General features: G+C 42.3%; 1 protein-coding gene across 1 annotated transcript in view, besides 2 other annotated features; it reads right to left on the bottom strand.

The window, feature by feature from the left end:
• Positions 1 to 17138, bottom strand: part of CACNA2D3 (calcium voltage-gated channel auxiliary subunit alpha2delta 3) — a 952006-nt gene that overhangs the window by 845873 nt on the left and 88995 nt on the right. The window lies entirely within an intron of this gene.
• Positions 11478 to 11978: an enhancer, noted in NCBI's record as "H3K4me1 hESC enhancer chr3:54250734-54251234 (GRCh37/hg19 assembly coordinates)". NCBI's record gives its function as "activates a minimal SCP1, AML or CMV promoter by ChIP-STARR-seq in naive and primed H9 embryonic stem cells {active_cell/tissue: H9 hESC(naive and primed)}" and the evidence as "EXISTENCE:reporter gene assay evidence [ECO:0000049][PMID:30033119]".
• Positions 15390 to 15984: an enhancer, noted in NCBI's record as "OCT4-NANOG hESC enhancer chr3:54246728-54247322 (GRCh37/hg19 assembly coordinates)". NCBI's record gives its function as "activates a minimal SCP1, AML or CMV promoter by ChIP-STARR-seq in naive H9 embryonic stem cells {active_cell/tissue: H9 hESC(naive)}" and the evidence as "EXISTENCE:reporter gene assay evidence [ECO:0000049][PMID:30033119]".

Raw genomic sequence — 17138 nt, 5'->3', positions numbered from 1 at the left:
CTGAGAGCAATAATGGGAGAAAGAATAAAGTTGCAGATAAAATGGGTCACAAGTCCTTGTTCTCAGGGTTCTGACTTCAAGGTCTGAATTTCATGTGTGAAATAAAAGACTAGAATCCCCATGAAGTTGCTAAAGAGATGACTGCTAGACCATGGCCACCTCCTCAAAGACAGGGCCCATGTTCCCACCACAGTCTGGCAAGTCAATAAATACTTGTTTAATCTTTTTAGCACCAGTTAGTGGTGACCAGCCTAGGTGATTCATATGCATTCTGTGTAATTCTCAGTGACAGGCAGGTATCATTCTCATCCTTCTCATTATTCTTGTACAGGCCATACAATCAAAACTCACTCGGAGGTTAGATGTCTCTCTAAGATTGCAACCAGTTAAGTGGCACAGTCAGGATCTGATTCCCGGTTTCTGCTATACCATCCTGTGAAGGAAGCCAAACTGAACCTTTGAACAGCCCTCAGTTTTCTCATCTATAAAATCAGGAGAATAGACCAAGTCTCTGGAAGCTCTGAAAGTCCACTATTCTACTGTCCCTAGTGTCTAAGCTACAAGGCAGAAATTTGGTCTTGGAAAGGGTCACACAAAATCCCTTAAACACATAAACTTTAAATTGAAATAGAAGAGGATCCACAGAGCTCTGCTGGACCGAGACCATGCAAAGAACATGGTAGAACAAAGAACAAAGTACTCAACCAAGAAAGGAGCTCCATTTGCTTTCCAATGCAAGTCAGTTCTGCTTCAGATGAGCATGGGTGGCTCAGAAGAACAGCTTCTGTCAAGCTTCATGAAAGGGAGCAGGGAGGTGACCAAAAGAGACGTGGACAGGCCGGGTGCAGTGGCTCACACCTGTAATCCCAGCACTTTGGGAGGCCGAGGAGGGTGGATCACGAGGTCAGGAAATCAAGATCATCCTGGCCGAGGTGAAACCCCGTCTCTACTAAAATACAAAAATTAGCCAGGTGTAGTGGTGCACGCCTGTAATCCCAGCTACTCGGGAGGCTGAGGCATAAGAAATGCTTGAACCTGAGAGGCGGAGGTTGCAGTGAGCCAAGATCATACCACTGCACTCCAGCCTAGGCGACAGAGCGAGACTCTGCCCCCCCGCCCCCTCCCCAAAAAAGCCATGGACAATAGCTGAAATGTTTGGCTCTGTCTTGTCCCCTTGCAAAATTTCTCCACTCTTCACTCTCCCGAGGAATACCAAAAAACCAAATTTTACTCTTCTAAAAGACTAAAAATTTGTTATTTTTTTTTCTGTCCCTAAGTAAACAACTTCATGGGCAAATGAAACACTGCAAGCTGGGTAAACTAGTGAACTTTAGGAGGCTACTAAATGTGGCCTAATAGCTTATCCCCAGGAAGCGCACAAAAAGGGGCCTAGCACATAGCAAAATCCCGGTGCTGGACATTTCTCCCGGTGCCAAACACCCAGATCCTGAACGTGAAAACATAGCCCCTACACAGTAACATATTGTTAACCCCAAGACCTTGGTTCATTTTCAACTGTGACTTCCATAACATTTGTACTGTTCTATTCATGTTGTTAGCAGATTTTACGTATCAACATGTTCTGCCATCTTCACAATGACCCTGCCGGTCTGCCAGGACAAAGGAGATTCATTCTGTGTTTAACTTGAGTTCAGAGCTCTCTCTACCAAACATAGCTGCTTCCTACTAAAAGTAAAAGCTATCCCTGAATTTTGCTTACTGCAATGATGGACTAGACTATAGGAGACAAACACTCCTACTGAGAACAATTAGAAAAGCTAGATCAAGTACAGATAATATGTATTTGGAGGAACTGTAGACCTATCAAGGCAGCCAGAAGTTGAGAGGCCAAATTTCTGGAAAAAAAATAGAAACTTCCTGAGGTGAACTCAACATTCTACATTGCTCTCCTCTTTGAGGCACTGGATAAATCAAAAGCCACGTGGCTGAAGGCTGAGAAGCTGAACAGAGCTTTCGGCAGTGTTATAGGACTAGCAGGGTTGGAAGACAGGAATTGGAGTTCAGAGCTACCAAGGCAGCCAGGAATCAAGGGGCAAATATCCTATAAAGAAGGGAATTGCAGGCCAGGCATGGTGGCTCATGCCTGTAATCCCAACACTTTGGGAGGCAAAAGTGGGAGGATTGTTTGAGGCCAGGAGTTTGAGACCAGCCTGGGCAACATATCAAGACCCTTGTCTCAACAAAAAATAAAAAATTAGCTGGACGTGGTGGCACATGCCTGTGGTCCCAGCTACTCCAGAGGCTGTGGTGGGAGAATTGCTTGAGCCCAGGAGGTTGCAGAGCTGTGATAATGCCACTGCATTCCAGCCTGGGTGACAGAGCAACTGTCTCCAAAAAAAAAAAAAAAAAAAGCATCAGGGGCAGGAGGCGGGGAATTGCAGAGAGGATAACCTTACAGTCTGAGCCATTTCCCTCTTCCTGGGGTTTGATATTTACCTGGGACAAGTATCATGGTTAGAGAGGCAGCACAGCTTAACTGAGAGTAGCTATCAAAAGGCAGAAAACCGAAACAGACCTATCATCAGTCTCACGATGCTGGGGAGAAAAACACTGGAGTTCAGTGCCAATGACATTGAGAAACGCTGGTAAACGCTCCAGGCTTTCAGTCTGGACTACTGAAGAATTACACCCTGCTGGTAAGGGCCAGTCAGAAATAGACCAGTCATACAAAGACTGACACCCAGGCTCCTGTCAGTTCAGTCCCCAATCCGGTGAAGGTGAACTCACTGCTCCTAGTCTCAGTGCTTTCCGGAAATTAAAGAAAATTCTCTCTGGAGAAATATCAATGCAGAGACCCTGGCCTCTACAAGTTTCCAAGTACAATGTCCACCACTCAGTCTGAAGTTGCTGAGCATATCAATACACAGGGCCAAGAGAAAAAAAAAAAGCGTAATAGAAACAGAACCCCAGTGATACAGGTTTGAGGTCATCAGACACAGGCTTTAAAATAACTATAATTAATAGGTTCAAAAAAATAGGATTGTAAATTTCACCAAATAATTGTTGTCTGTAAGAAAAACCAAGTGAATATTCTTGAACTGAGAAATTAAGAGGTTTCAAACACAAAAGATGTGTTTAACAGTAAATCAGATACAATGTTAAAGAATGTCAGTGCATTAAAAGATAAGTCAACAGAAAATATTCAGATTAACACACAATAAAAATAACATATGGGAAACATATAGGAAACTGCAAAACAGATACAGAGGATATTGTGAAAAGGTCTAACCTCATGGAGTCCCACAAGGGGAAATGAGAAAGAGAACCGGTAGGAAGCACTTTTTAAAAACACAGTGGTTAAGAAATTTCAGAAGGTGATAAAAGATATTCAGTCATGCACATATACACCATGGAATACTATGCAGCCATAAAAAATGATGAGTTCATGTCCTTTGTAGGGACATGGATGAAGCTGGAAACCATCATTCTCAGCAAACTATCACAAGGACAAAAAACCAAACACCGCATCTTCTCACTCTTAGGTGGGAATTGAACAATGAAAACACCTGGACACAGGAAGGGGAACATCACACACTGGGGCCTGTTGTGGGGTGGGTGGAGTGGGGAGGGATAGCATTAGGAGATATACCTAATGTAAATGATGAGTTAATGGGTGCAGCACACCAACATGGCACATGTATACATATGTAACAAACCTGCACGTTATGCGCATGTACCCTAGAACTTAAAGTATATATATAAAGTAAAAAAAAAAAAAAAAAAGATATTCAGTCACAAATTCAGGAAGCTTCGGGAATCTAAGCAGGGTAGATTTTTTTTTTAACTGACATTAGTACCACCATAGAAATTTGCAGAAAATTATCCCTTATGAAAATCTGAAACATGAGAAAGAATAAAGAGCAACCAAAAAGGTAAATGTGTATGTGAATCTAAACACACTTTGTATGAAATAAGAATAATATCTTAAAGTTTAATATCTAATAGGAATTTAAAACAAGAGAGACCTGACATACATGACAACACGAAAGACAAGAGAGAGGCAAAAGAAGTGAAAGTGTTCCAAGGTTCTTGAAATATTCATATACAGTCATGCCCTGCATAGCAACATTTTAGTCAACAACAAATGGCATATACGACGGTGGTCTCATAAGATTATAATGGAGCTGGAATATTCCTATCACTTAGTGATGTCCCAGGTGTTGTAACATTGTAGTGCGATGCGTTACTCACCCGTCTGTGGTCAAGCTGGTGTAAACAAACCTATTACAATGCCAATCACACAGAAGTATAGCACATATAGTTACGTACAGTACATAATACTTGATAATGGTAATAAACAATGATGTTAGTGGTTTACGTATTTACTATACTGTAATTTTAATGTTATTTTAGAGTGTACTCCTTCTACTTCATTAAAAAAAAAAGTTAAATGGAAAACATCTTCAGGCACGTCCTTCAGGAGGTATCCAGAAGAAGGCACTATCATCGCAGGAGATGACAGCTCTCTAGGTGTTACTGCCCATGAAGGCCTTCCAGTGGGACAAGGTGTGGAGGTGAAAGACAGTGATCCTGATGATCCTGACCCCATGTTGGCTTAGGCTAATGTGTGTGCTTGTGTCTTAGTTTTTAACCAAAAAATGTTTTAAGTAAAAAAAAAATTTAATAGAAAAAGCATATACAGTAAGTATATAAAAAGGAAAATATTTTTTACAGCTGTACAATAGGTTTGTGTTTTAAGCTGTTATTAGAGTCAAAAAGCTTCAAATATTTAAGCTTTTAAGAAGAAAGTTACAGTAAGCTAAGGTTAATTTATTATTAGAGTCAGAAAAATAATTTTTTTTTTTTTTTTTTGAGACAGAGTCTCGCTCTGTCACCCAGGCTGGAGTGCAATGGTGCGATCTCGGCTCACTGCAACCTCCACCTCCCGGGTTCAAGCAGTTCTCCTGCCTCAGCCTCCTGAGTAGACGGGATTCAGCACGTGCCACTACGCCCCACAAATTTTTGTATTTTTAGTAGAGACGGGGTTTCACCATGTTGGTCAGGCTGGTCTCGAACTCCTGACCTCATGATCTGCCCACCTTGGCCTCCCAAAGTGATGGGATTACAGTGCTAGGATTACCGCACCCGGCCAAAAAATAATTTTGTATAAAGTGTACAGTATTTATAAAGTCTACAGTAGTATGCAGTAATGTCCTAGGCATTCACATTCACTCACTCCTCACCCCACTGCCTCATTCCACTCCTGCAAGCTCCATTTATCATTTTCCTATACAGGTGTACCATCTTTTGTCCTTTATGCCATATTTTATAGTACCTTTCCTACATTTACATATGTTTAGATATTCAAATACTTATCATCGTGTTACAACTGCCTACAATATTCAATACAGTAACGTGCTATACAGGTTTGTCACCTAGGAGCAATAGACTACAGCCTATTGTGCAGCAGGCTATACTGTCTAGGTTTAGTACACTTTACAATGTTTGCACAATGACAAAATCACCTAACGACACAATTCTCAGAACATATGCCCATTGTTGAACAACCTATGAATACAGTAAAGTACCTTAAACTAGTTAAATATGCACTTTGTAATATCTAGGGTAAGCATCAAAAGAATAAAATAAGAAGATTTAATTAACAAGGTGGTAAAGGTAAACAAATCTGAATAAAGTCATGCTTGATTAATCCAAAACAAAGCAAGAATGGAGAGGAAAAAGTAACACAGAACATATGGGACAAATGAAAAACAATAATATGACATTTAAACTCAAACATATCAGTAATTCCATTAATTATAAGTACATTAAATTCTCTAAAAGTTAAAAATATTACAGATTTCTTAAAAATCAAAACTTAACTACGTATTCCTTAAAATAAAAAACACAAACAGAGACTCAGAAAAGTTGTCACTATTGATTTATATCATAATTTCACAAAGTTCAAAGGATTGAAATCAGAATAAATTTTGATCAGAGTGATATTAAGGTAGCAATCAATAACTTATGAAATAGAAAATTCCACAAATGTTTAGAAACTGAGTGTTATAAATGACCCTAAGGTCAATAAAGACATTGTAGTGGGATTAGAAACAATTTTGTGATGTTTAGTTTTATTTGTCAACTTGACTGGGGCACAGGGTTAGTGTGTTTAGTTTTATTTGTCAACATTGACTCAGCAGACTCAGTAAAGAAGATTGCCCTCCCTAATGTACATAGGCCTCATCCAATCAGTTGAAGGCCTCAATAGAACAAAAAGGCTGAATAAGAGAAAACTCCTTCTGCCTCACTGCCTTGAGCTGGGACATTGGTTTATTCCTGCCTTCAGGACATTGGCTTATTCCTGCCTTCACACTTGAACTGAAACATCAACTCTTCCTGGGTCTCAAGCCTACTAGCATTCAGAAAGAAATAGATCACCAGCTCTCCTGGTTCTGGGGGCTTCAGACTCAGACTGGAACTACACCATCAGCTATCCTGGATCCCCAGCTTGCTTACTGCAGATCTTGAAACTTGTCAGCCTCCGTAATTGCATAAGCCCATTCCTTATATTGATTCTGCTTCTCTGAAAAACTCTCACAAATACAAATTTTTAACTAAAATAATAAGTAAGCATAATACAATCAGCCCTCTGTATCTGCAAGTTCTGCATCCGTGGGTTCAACCAACTACTGATCAAAAATATTGAGGGCCAGGTGCAGTGGTTCACACCTGTTATCCCAACACTTTGGGAGGCTGAGGCAGGAGGATCACTTGAGCCTAGGAGTTCAAGGCTGCAGTGAACTATGATTGCACCACTGCACTCCAGCCTGGATGACAGAAGAATGCCTCATCTCAAAAAAATATTTTTTTTCAGAAAAAAAAATAAAAAGTAACTGTACAATAATTTTAAAAACAAGCTAAAAATATAATGTATCAACTATTTGCATAGCATTTACACTCCATTAGTTATTATAAGTAATCTAGAAATGACTTAAAAGTATATGGGACAAGGTACATACGTTATATACAAACACAACACCAATTTGTATGAAAGACTTTAGCATCTGTGAATTTGGGTACTGGCATGGGAATTTAAAAATTACAAAAATCTCTCTAGTAAAACTTCCCCAAAACAATGACCTAATCTATAATATGTTAATTTAATAATTCATGTATTTCAGCAGGTTTCAATTTGGATTAACTCTCTTAGAGATGTAATGTTCACATTTGGAACAACCGCAAATGGTTCTTGTTAAAGGCAAGCTACCAGTTAGACATTCAAAATTATGACAGTACCTAGTGAAAATAATTGTGAAAGAGGCTGAGTTAATCAACTTTAAATATCCAAAGTAGAATAAACTATAATCATAAAATATGCTGGTAATCTCAAATGGAAACTAAATAATTGGAATTTTTAGTCATGACGGTACCATTCCCACGATCCCACCCTCTCACCACTAACATTTGAACGTTTTAGAGTATGTGCTGCGTGAAGTCAAAGACTCATGGATTTTAATTACTGTATCTTCAGCACTCAACAAAATGCCTGCCACAGGTGGGTGCTAATATCTACAGCATAAATTAAAGGTTACCTCTTGGGGTGGTTGTGAAAATGAAATGCGGAAATGCACTCAAAGCGCTTTGCCTGTGCCTGGCATGGAGGAGACAGGATAAATGTCTGCTGGTTGAATAGCAAATTCTTCCTCACCTCCAGCCAGCCACCTACTTTCTCACCCCCTCCATTCCCACCCAAGGCCTCGTAGGCAAATTCAGCATAATATCTCAGCATCTTAGATGAGCCTAGGGTCAGCAGCAGGAAAGGCAGGAAGCCACTCAGTCACGCACTCTATAAATGATCCCTAAGAACCTACTCTGGGCCAAGCACTGTGCTGGACTCAGCAGCATAGCTGAGCAGGACACCCTCAGCCCTGGCTCTGGAGAGAAGACAGGGAAGAAGAGGTGACAGCCCAAACGTGTCACGGTTGTAACCAGAGCTACAGGAGGAGACAAGTGGTTCAGTAGCCAGGGAGGGTTTCCTGGGACAGGGACGATGGGGGCTAAGACCTGAAGCTAGAGGAAGGGCCTCATGCAGAGGAAGCAGCAGGTGTGGGGGTGCTGAGGCTCCAGGCTGCCCAGCCTGGAAGAGGCTGCTGGGATGGTGGGAAGAGCACTAAGGCAGAAGTTCACATGCCTGAGCCCTGCTAGTCCTCCAGCTAGAGAGCCCTTTTGGACCCAGTTGTCCCATTCGAGTGTGGCTTCGTTTTCTAAGCTGATCATCTGTCATTCTTTTAGTGCTACATTAGCATCTCAGCTTTTGTAAATTCACCTGTATGTTGGTCAGTTTTCATTTTTTGAAAACTTATTTTAACAAACTTTCTATATACAGGGAATGTTAGATAATAATCACACGCTTAATTAATGAGACTTTACTGAAAACCTAACTGATAAGAGCAATTATGTCTCAAATGCGCTTGCAATCCATGCGAGAAAAATACTGGTGCTATCAGAGCAGACCGACTGAAATGAAGTTGGAAGACACATTCTTAGGACCCACCAAGAAACAATTAACCAATTATTGACATAAAAGGAAAAAACTACAATTTTTTTCATATTTTAAGCAGTCCTTTGTATGGAAGTTCTCAATCAAAACGTTGCTTGAAATTCCATTAAGAAACAGAAGAGCAAACACAATTTTAGAGATTCAAAAGGCACAGTTAGCACAATAAAATGCCAAGTGCAAAAACAGGCTTGAGGTTTTCATTGAATATTTATTCTACAAGTATCTCTCGGTTAGTAAGGAAAGATAGTAGTTTTTTTTTAATTAAGAAGAATTCTTAATTAATTGCCACCACCTTGTTAGCATGTTTCCAGATATGCCCTATTCAACCAGGCTCTGCAGATTATGAGTGAGCACAACCACCAAGCTTTCAACAGGACTAAATCCACCACACAAATGCACCAACACACCATCTATCCATGTCAAAACACAGAGAGGGATCCGGAAGGTCCTCTAACACTGAAACACACAGGAAATAAGCCCAAAATGCTTATGCAGGGAGGTCACCTGCTGAAAGCCAGTACATAAGTAACGCGTCCCTTGTATGAGAAGAAAAAAAAGATTGTAATGCCAAGTAGAAATGAGCAAAAATCCCCCCGAAGGAAGAGAAACCCAAGGGGTACATGGTTCACTATCCAAACCTACAGAGTTCAGGCAGATGTCAATAAAGGTCTCCATAAGGAGGTATCCATAATGCTTCTAAACATCCACATTCATCTCCCCAAACATGAGATGGCAGTCCCTAGAAAAACAGAGCGGATATCCCAAAAGGCAGGAATCCCAGCCCAAATGAATAGGTGCAAGTCAATGGTGTCCAGCTCTCCAGGTTAAAGAGTAGGGGGAGAGGTAGGAAGCCCTGAGCCATAGCATTTGCTGACTTCCAAGGTGTAAATAGTTTCACTCTGGCCACCTTCAAGCTACCAACATGAAGTCACTTCACTGAACACAAAATTGGGAAAAGATAAGCACAATCAGCTCTTGAGAGCTGGTACGAGGCAGCTCCAGCATGCATTGAAGTGGGTAAGAGAGAGACAGGGCTGCCATAAGAGGTTTTCATATGCAGGGCATGAGATCTACAGGAAAATATGGGTCACTAACTGTGGAGGGCACCATATACCCCCAAAGATGTCCATGTCCTAATCCCCAGAACTGGTGAATATGTAAGTAATATTACATGAAAAAAGAGACTTTGCAAATGGGATTAAGGATCTTGAGATAGGGAGATTATCCTGGATTATCTGGGTGGACTCAGTGTAGTCACAAGGTCCTTATAAGAGAGAGGGAGATGACAGTGAAGGAGAGAGAAGCAGGGGCTGGTGTAATGCCACCGCTGGAAGAGACCACAAGCCAAGGACAGCCTCTAGAAGCTGGAAAAAGCAAGGAATATCTTTTTCCCTAGAGCCTCCAGAAGGAACAGAGATCTGCTGACATTTTGATTTTAGTCCTTGTATAAAATCAATTTTGGACTTCTCACCTTTAGAACTACTAAATAATAAATTCATGTTGCTTTAAGCCACTAGGTTTGTGATATTTGTTACAGCAGCAAAAAGAAACTAACACACTGACTAAAATCCTGTCCCAAGTCATACAAATGTGTTGGGGGGTTAATATGCTAACATCTAGGAGAAATAAAAACTGTAAGACAGAAGTTACAAAACAGAACCCTTCACCTCACCCTAGGGTCAAATTGGACCTGCAGATTTAAAAACTTAAGCCAGCTTTCAATACCAAGACAGGTCATGTTTTAAAACAAATCATATTTTTTTCAGGCTTGTCTGAGAAAACTAGACATCTGACCCCACTGGTCCCACATCCCACAGGGCAGCATCAGCTGAGACGGATGCAGCTGCCCCATGCATGTGCCAGTCTAGGTGGTCACAGTCCACCTGCACGCCACCCTTATCCACAAGAGGTGGCCAGTCCAGCCCCTGGGGTGTGACAGTGGGAGACGCCCACTGTTAAGCCAGGCCTGGTTGAAGCACAAAGAGAAGAGATGTGAAGGGGATAGTCCCACAAAGTGGGAGCGTGGTCTCCATCACCCTTGGGCTTTCCAGGAGTTTGGGGAGTCAAACCTCTCTCTCTAACGCACCTCTCTCTAATGCACCTCTCTCTCTAACACACCTTTCTCTAACACACCTCTCTCTCTCTCCCGAATACACCTCTAACACCTCTTTAACACGCCTCTCTCTCTCTAAAACACCCCCCTCAACACACCTCTCTCTCTACCTCTCTAACACATCTCTTTCTCTCTAACACACCTCTCTCCCTAACACCTGTCTCTCTCTCTCTCTGTCTCTCTCTGTCTCTCAGGCCTATATTAATTTCCTGGGGCTGCTGTAACAAACTACCACAAACTGTTGACATAAAACAACAGAAACTTATTCTCTCCCAGTTCTGAGGGCCATGCATCTTAGATTAACATGTCAGCAGGGCCATGTTCCTTCCAAAGGCTCCCTCCAAAGCAGCATCCATTCCTCACCCCTTCCAGCTTCTGGTGGCTGCTGGCATTCCTTGCTGTTCCTCAGCTGGAGTCACTTCGCTCTGATCTCTGCCTCTGTCTTCACATCCCTTTCGTCTCTGTGTGTCTGCATCTCCCTTTGCCTCTCTTTTAAAAGGATACTTGTGAGAGCATTTAGGGCCCATCTGAATAATCCAGGGTCATCTCCTCATCTCACAATATTTAATTACACCTCCAAAGACACTTTTTCTAAATAAGATAACCTTTACAAATTCCAGGGATTAGGACTTGGTATCTCCAGGTGGTCATGTCCAGCCTACTATGGTGTCCATCAACTCCCTAGCCCAGGGCAGGGTGGGAGGCAGCTCAGACAGAACCCAGGGGAAGGGACACTGCCACTGGCTGAGGCTGCAGGGAGGAGGAGGCGGCAGAGGCTCCCAAGCCAGCCCCCCTGGGCCCAGAGACCATGCCTGTCCCCATAAGGTCACTGCTCTGCTGAACACGCCTCTGGCTGCTTCACCATCGCACCAGAAACACACTCCTTCCTCCCTCCCAGGCCCCATCTGCAGCCCTCTCCCTTGCTCACTGCACACTGTGCCTTGCTCACTGTTCACCTGGGCTGCTCCTATCTCTCAGTCCCGTGGGCCTTCCTCAGTCAGGAGGCTGCCTCTCACCGCCCCACACCATCTAACAGCACTCGCTGCCTCAGTTTACCTTCTCCACGCACTTGTCACCGCCTGGAATTACTCTTTGAGTTCTACTTAGTTCTTCTTTATCTCCCCCCACCAAACAGAAGTTCCACAAAATAAGGGGCCCTGGCTGAACTTGGCCCCACAGCATCCTCAAAGCACACACAAGCAGGTGCTCTAAAAAATAAGAGCTAGATGGCTGGTTTCCTGATTTCTCCTTACTAGGATGGTTTAAGTTCTGGCTGAGGAGTCCCGTCTTACACCTGGGCTTATTTTTGACAAAAACAAAACAGTTAATGCATTACTCCTGGGTGTCCTTCAAGTGTGCTCAGTTAAATCACTGATGGTAAAAAGCTTTCTAACTCCAATTATGCTCTGCCACCTTCCAGCTGGAGGGCAAGAAGCCATCACGCCTTCTGTGAAATGCTTTTTCCTCATCTAATTAGTTTAAAATGTTGATATTACTCTATCAGTTCCACTATAGGCCTCGCACTTTGGTGCTCACAGCCCATCCCTAACACACCTGGTGGACAAGCTGGATGGCAACTGGATAACAACCTGTCCATGCAAACTTTAAAAAGCACCAGATTTCAACCAGTATGCAAGTATTGGCTTCTGTTTATTATTATAGAAAGCACACATATACCTGGAATACTTAAAGATAATCAAAACACGCACTTTTAAACATCACTGAAACGTGAAGTGTATTATTGCAAGAAGATTGATACCAAAAAGCTTGGTAGTTCACAATACAAAGATTCCATCTCTCAAAGCCTGTGCTTCCTTAGTTGTAAAATACCCTCTGCAAAGAGTGGGTGTCAGGCTTCTCGAACTGTGCTTCTGCCTTGTCCCTCCCCACCATACACACACACACACACACACGTACAACTAAAATTGCAGGGTAGTGTCAGAGGATACATAGGAACACAGCGCACAAGCTCTCAAAGGGCTCAGCCGCTCAAGAACAGTGAAGACCACCTAATTCGGGGGACCAACACAGGACTGACGGGTTTTTATTTAACCAACTAAGAACATTAAAGAGGACACACATGTACACATACACATGCATACCTTCCACAATCACGATCGTTCCATAAGAGAAAGGATATTTGAAGTCACAAGAAAAAAAAAAGAAAAGAAAAGAAAACAGTAAGCTCAGAATAAAGAGCTTAGCCCTTGAATGGGATAGGTTTCCAGGCATGAATGCCTCCCTGCATTATCCTTACTTCTCTTCCGGCAACTGAGACCAGAGGAAATAAATTTCACACCTAGGGGCACTAGGGTGATTTTGTGAGCCGGTGACTTTGGAAATTCCATGTGAAAGCCTGTTCTAAGCACTGCGGCTGAGTAACAGGTTAAAAAGTAAAGGATGCATGGCCCCACCTCCCACCCTCACATCGCCGTTCACTTGGAAAAGAGAACATTTCCTGGGCAATGCATGGCAAACCCAGAGAACAAAGACAAGCTAGATCTTGGCTTCTAAAATCAAAAGGCCAAACCCACATGTGTGTAATAATTTTAATAGGCAATGGGGGGACTGATACGCAGTCAAAAGATACAAAGTTTCAGTTACGACGAACACATTCTGGAGATCTATTGCACAGAATAGCTGCTATAGTTAATAATACTGTATTGTATGCTTTAAAAACGCTGTAACAGTAGATCTTAAATGTTTTCACCACAAAAAAATGAGAAGTATGTGAGGTGATGGAGATGTTAATGAGTTTGCTTTAATCATTTCATAATGTAGACACAGATTAATCAAAACATCACATTGTGTACCATAAATATATACAATTTTGTAAATTATACCTTAATAAAGCTGGGGGGTAGGATATTTGAATGAAGATAAAATGGGGACAGAACTTTTCTCTCTCTCCACAACCCAAAAGGCCCTAGGCTCCCATGGCTACTCTCCTGAGGAGCTGACATCAACTTGGAGAGTGTGGACAATAGGGCCTGGGAGGGGACAGGATGATGTCACAGCCACATCTCAGCTGACTGACGCCTGGAAGATGTCACATCTGAGGACCCCTACTCTGGGGTATTGTGCTTTATTCAAGACTGTTTTCCCCTATCAGGCTTACTGGAAAGACTCCAGCCAAAGGGCAAAGGGCCTGGGTGCTGTATCTCAGCCCTTGCTGCACTCAACCCCTGAGCTCCAAATGGGAAGAACCATGGTGAGCACGTCTCACTCTGTCCTTACTACCAGTATTTTGGTGTGATAAGACATGAAAACACCAGTGTTGTCATTTTGGTCTGGCGTTGTCACCTCTAGACACTGGCACAGGACAGGGATATATCAGAGCTGCCTCTTCCTGACTGTGCTGGGGCATCCTCTCCACACCCTGGCAGGATGCTTCAGCACCTAACTGAGCTGTTTAAAACAATAGGAGCACCAACCACACCTCTCTGTCAGTTCCTCATGCAATCTACAGCAAAAAGCACTGGTTCACCAGTGATGAGGACCACAGGAGATAAAATCTACTCAATTCTTCAACCTACCTTCAGGGGCAGCCCACTGTGTACTAACCAGGTCCTGCCCTTTGGCTCCAGATCTTGTCCCTTAGGGACCAGGGAGAAGGGGCCTCTGCTTGTCTCCCTCGAAGGTTGTGATGCAAAGGTCAATTTTAGAGCTCCTCTTTGTATTTACCAAGCAAAAGAAAGGTCTTGAAAATATCAAGAATATGGCATGTGGAAGTACTTGTAACTGACAAAATGTAAATACTGGATATTGAGGCATGGTCAGTGGCCACATCCCATTCAAGGTCTAAGCTCTTTATTCTGAGCTTACTCTTTTCTTTTTTGTGTGTGTGACTTCAAACTGATTAATTCAGTCAGAGTCTTCTGGAATATGAGAATCTGCCAGCTTTGTTCCTGTCAGAGGCATCTCTGGTATTTATGAGTCACCACGAGATGCTCTGAAGGCCCCATGCCAACAAGACCTGACCTCCAGCAACTAAGATATCTCAGCAAATACCTGCATCCCCATATTTCCACTTAAAATGCCAAGGTTCAGGGCATCCCCACTACAGTAGGGTTGACCCAGTGGTGGACCAACCACTCAACTGATTCCTGGGCCTCTCTCCTCCCGGTATTTTCCTACTGAATGGGCTCTATCAGCAAGGTGTTCAAGAGGGACTCCAGGCCAGAGGTATCAATGCCATTAGCTTTCTCCACAACAATCTAAGTGAACATAAATAATCTCCCTCATTTGATTCATTTTTATTTCCATCTTCCTGTTGTTCTGCATTATGAATCCCCATATTTATCTTTTCCTAGTATTAGAAGAAAACCTGACAACTGCACAATATGCTATTTTACTCTGTCCCCTGTGATGTCAAATGAGACCAGTGGGTCCACATCTCATCCCTGCATTCAGCAACCTGAAAGTGGCAGGCCACAAGGAATTCCTTAATTCAGCCACCATCCCTTGAGCAATGCAAGGAAATGCATGCTCCTCAGGTGAGGACCACAGGAAGAAAGAAAGGACTGTTATCCTCCCCAGACAGATACTGATGGAGAAATCCAGTAAAGGACGATGAGCCGCAACTAAGGAAGAATACTGAGAGAGCAATTGTTCCTGTATTATCGATGTTCCCCGGGGGTTAAGGCAGGAGGGGTGGCCTTTAATGGCTCAAAGCCATACTGGTGAATAGCCACAGTAACATCATAGAAATGTACTAATTAAAACAACCAGAGAAGGCCTGGAGAAAAGAGGTTTTCTTATTTCTATTTAAACTATCCCATTAACAGCCTTCCAAAAAGGTTAAAAGAAATAAAATAGGTTTTCAGGAAGCAAATTACCTGGGCATTTTCCAAAAGGAAGGAAATTTGACCCAGTTTCAGTGATCAAGAGCCATTTGTGGATGCATTCATTAGCTCCAGTCACCCTTTCCAGCCACTGAAGGGGGGTCATCTGGTTTATTGGTCACAATAAACAATTGATGGTGGAGATTCTGACCTTGGCTCATCAGCTCAGAAGCCCACCTGATGTGCACAGATTAAAGGCTACTTGTGAGGAACCATGGAAATACATGAGCTCACATATAGAGAAGGGCAATTAGGAGGCCTGGAATGTGCTCGCCACATTCCAGCATCATCTCATTAATCCTCTAGAATGTCCTGTGGGGCAGGTCTTGTCAGTATCCCCAGTTCACACTTGAGGAAACTGAAGCCTGAAGGCAGAGATTGAACCCTCCCTGCCCTCCATCAGCTCTGAGTACAAGACAGACATTCCTGACTCTGTAAACCAAAAATAAAATTCTAAGGCATTCCCACCCCCAACCATCTAAATGGATCCCTCCCCTCTCAGCCAAGGGCATTCCAAAGTTAACCTGAAAAACTAATTCAGGCCATGATAGGAAGTGGGGGTCGGACACACCTCATTATACCCTCCTCCCTTTTGGAATTCAGGAAAAGCCAACCAGCATTAACATCAACAGAGACTTTAAGTCTGAAAAGAAACATTTACAATCTATTCTCTCTGACGCCTGCTACTTAGAGGCTTCATCTACATGGTAAAACTTTGTTCTCCACAACCCCTTATCATTATAACCCAGACAATCCTTTCTATTGATTCCAGGCCTTTAGATAATAACTTAACTCTTACAACCGACTGCCAATCAGAAATTGTTTAAATCTACCTATAACCTGGAAGCTCCCTCCTGCCACCACTTCAAGTTGTCCCACCACTTCGAGTTGTCTTGCCCTTCCAGATGGAACCAATGTACACCTTACAGATACTGATTGATGTATTATGTCTCCCTAAAAGGCGTAAAAGCAAGCTGTACCCCGACCACCTTGGGCATATGTCATCAGGACCTCCGGAGGCTGTGTCACGGGTCCATCCTTAACCTTGGCAAAATATATTTTCTATGTTGATTCAGACCTGTCTCAGATACTTTTGGGTTCACAACTCTAAACTAGTAACTATTGGTCAGGATTTTTTTTTCCATTTCCTGAGCCTTCTGTTCCTCAAGGTATCTCAGGGTTTCTTGGCAAGAGAGAGGTGGGTGAAGTTGAGATTTCTGTCCCTTCTCTGCAGTCTTACTAGCTAAATAAACTCATATTATTTCAATTTTGCCTTTGCTTCATTGTGCACCTTGCTCTCCATTTTTAAAACAAATCTAATACCTAAAAACCTAAAATGTAAAAAACTAGGGGAAGTAAAATAAGTTACATTTTATAATATATTTTTATAAAATAACTCTTACATATCTTTAAATAACAGTTTCCCTTTCACAAAGCATTAATTCATAGATGTTTACGTACACTGGTAAAGAAGCAAACGACAGAGAACGATAAAATGAAAGTAGTGAGTCCTTGTCGACTAAGGACAGCAATTAAGAATAGTAGGAAGAAAGTATTCACTTTACAAAAAATATGAGTCTAATTAAGTTTTGTATTAAAGAATACACGTAGTAAGGAGCAGGTAATGGTGTCATTCAGGGGTAAGGTTCCAAGGTAG

The sequence above is a fragment of the Homo sapiens genome, chromosome 3, assembly GCF_000001405.40.
Source record: "Homo sapiens chromosome 3, GRCh38.p14 Primary Assembly".
In the NCBI taxonomy this organism is placed as follows: Eukaryota; Metazoa; Chordata; class Mammalia; order Primates; family Hominidae; genus Homo; species Homo sapiens.
This window is presented reverse-complemented; position numbering and strand designations above follow the sequence as displayed.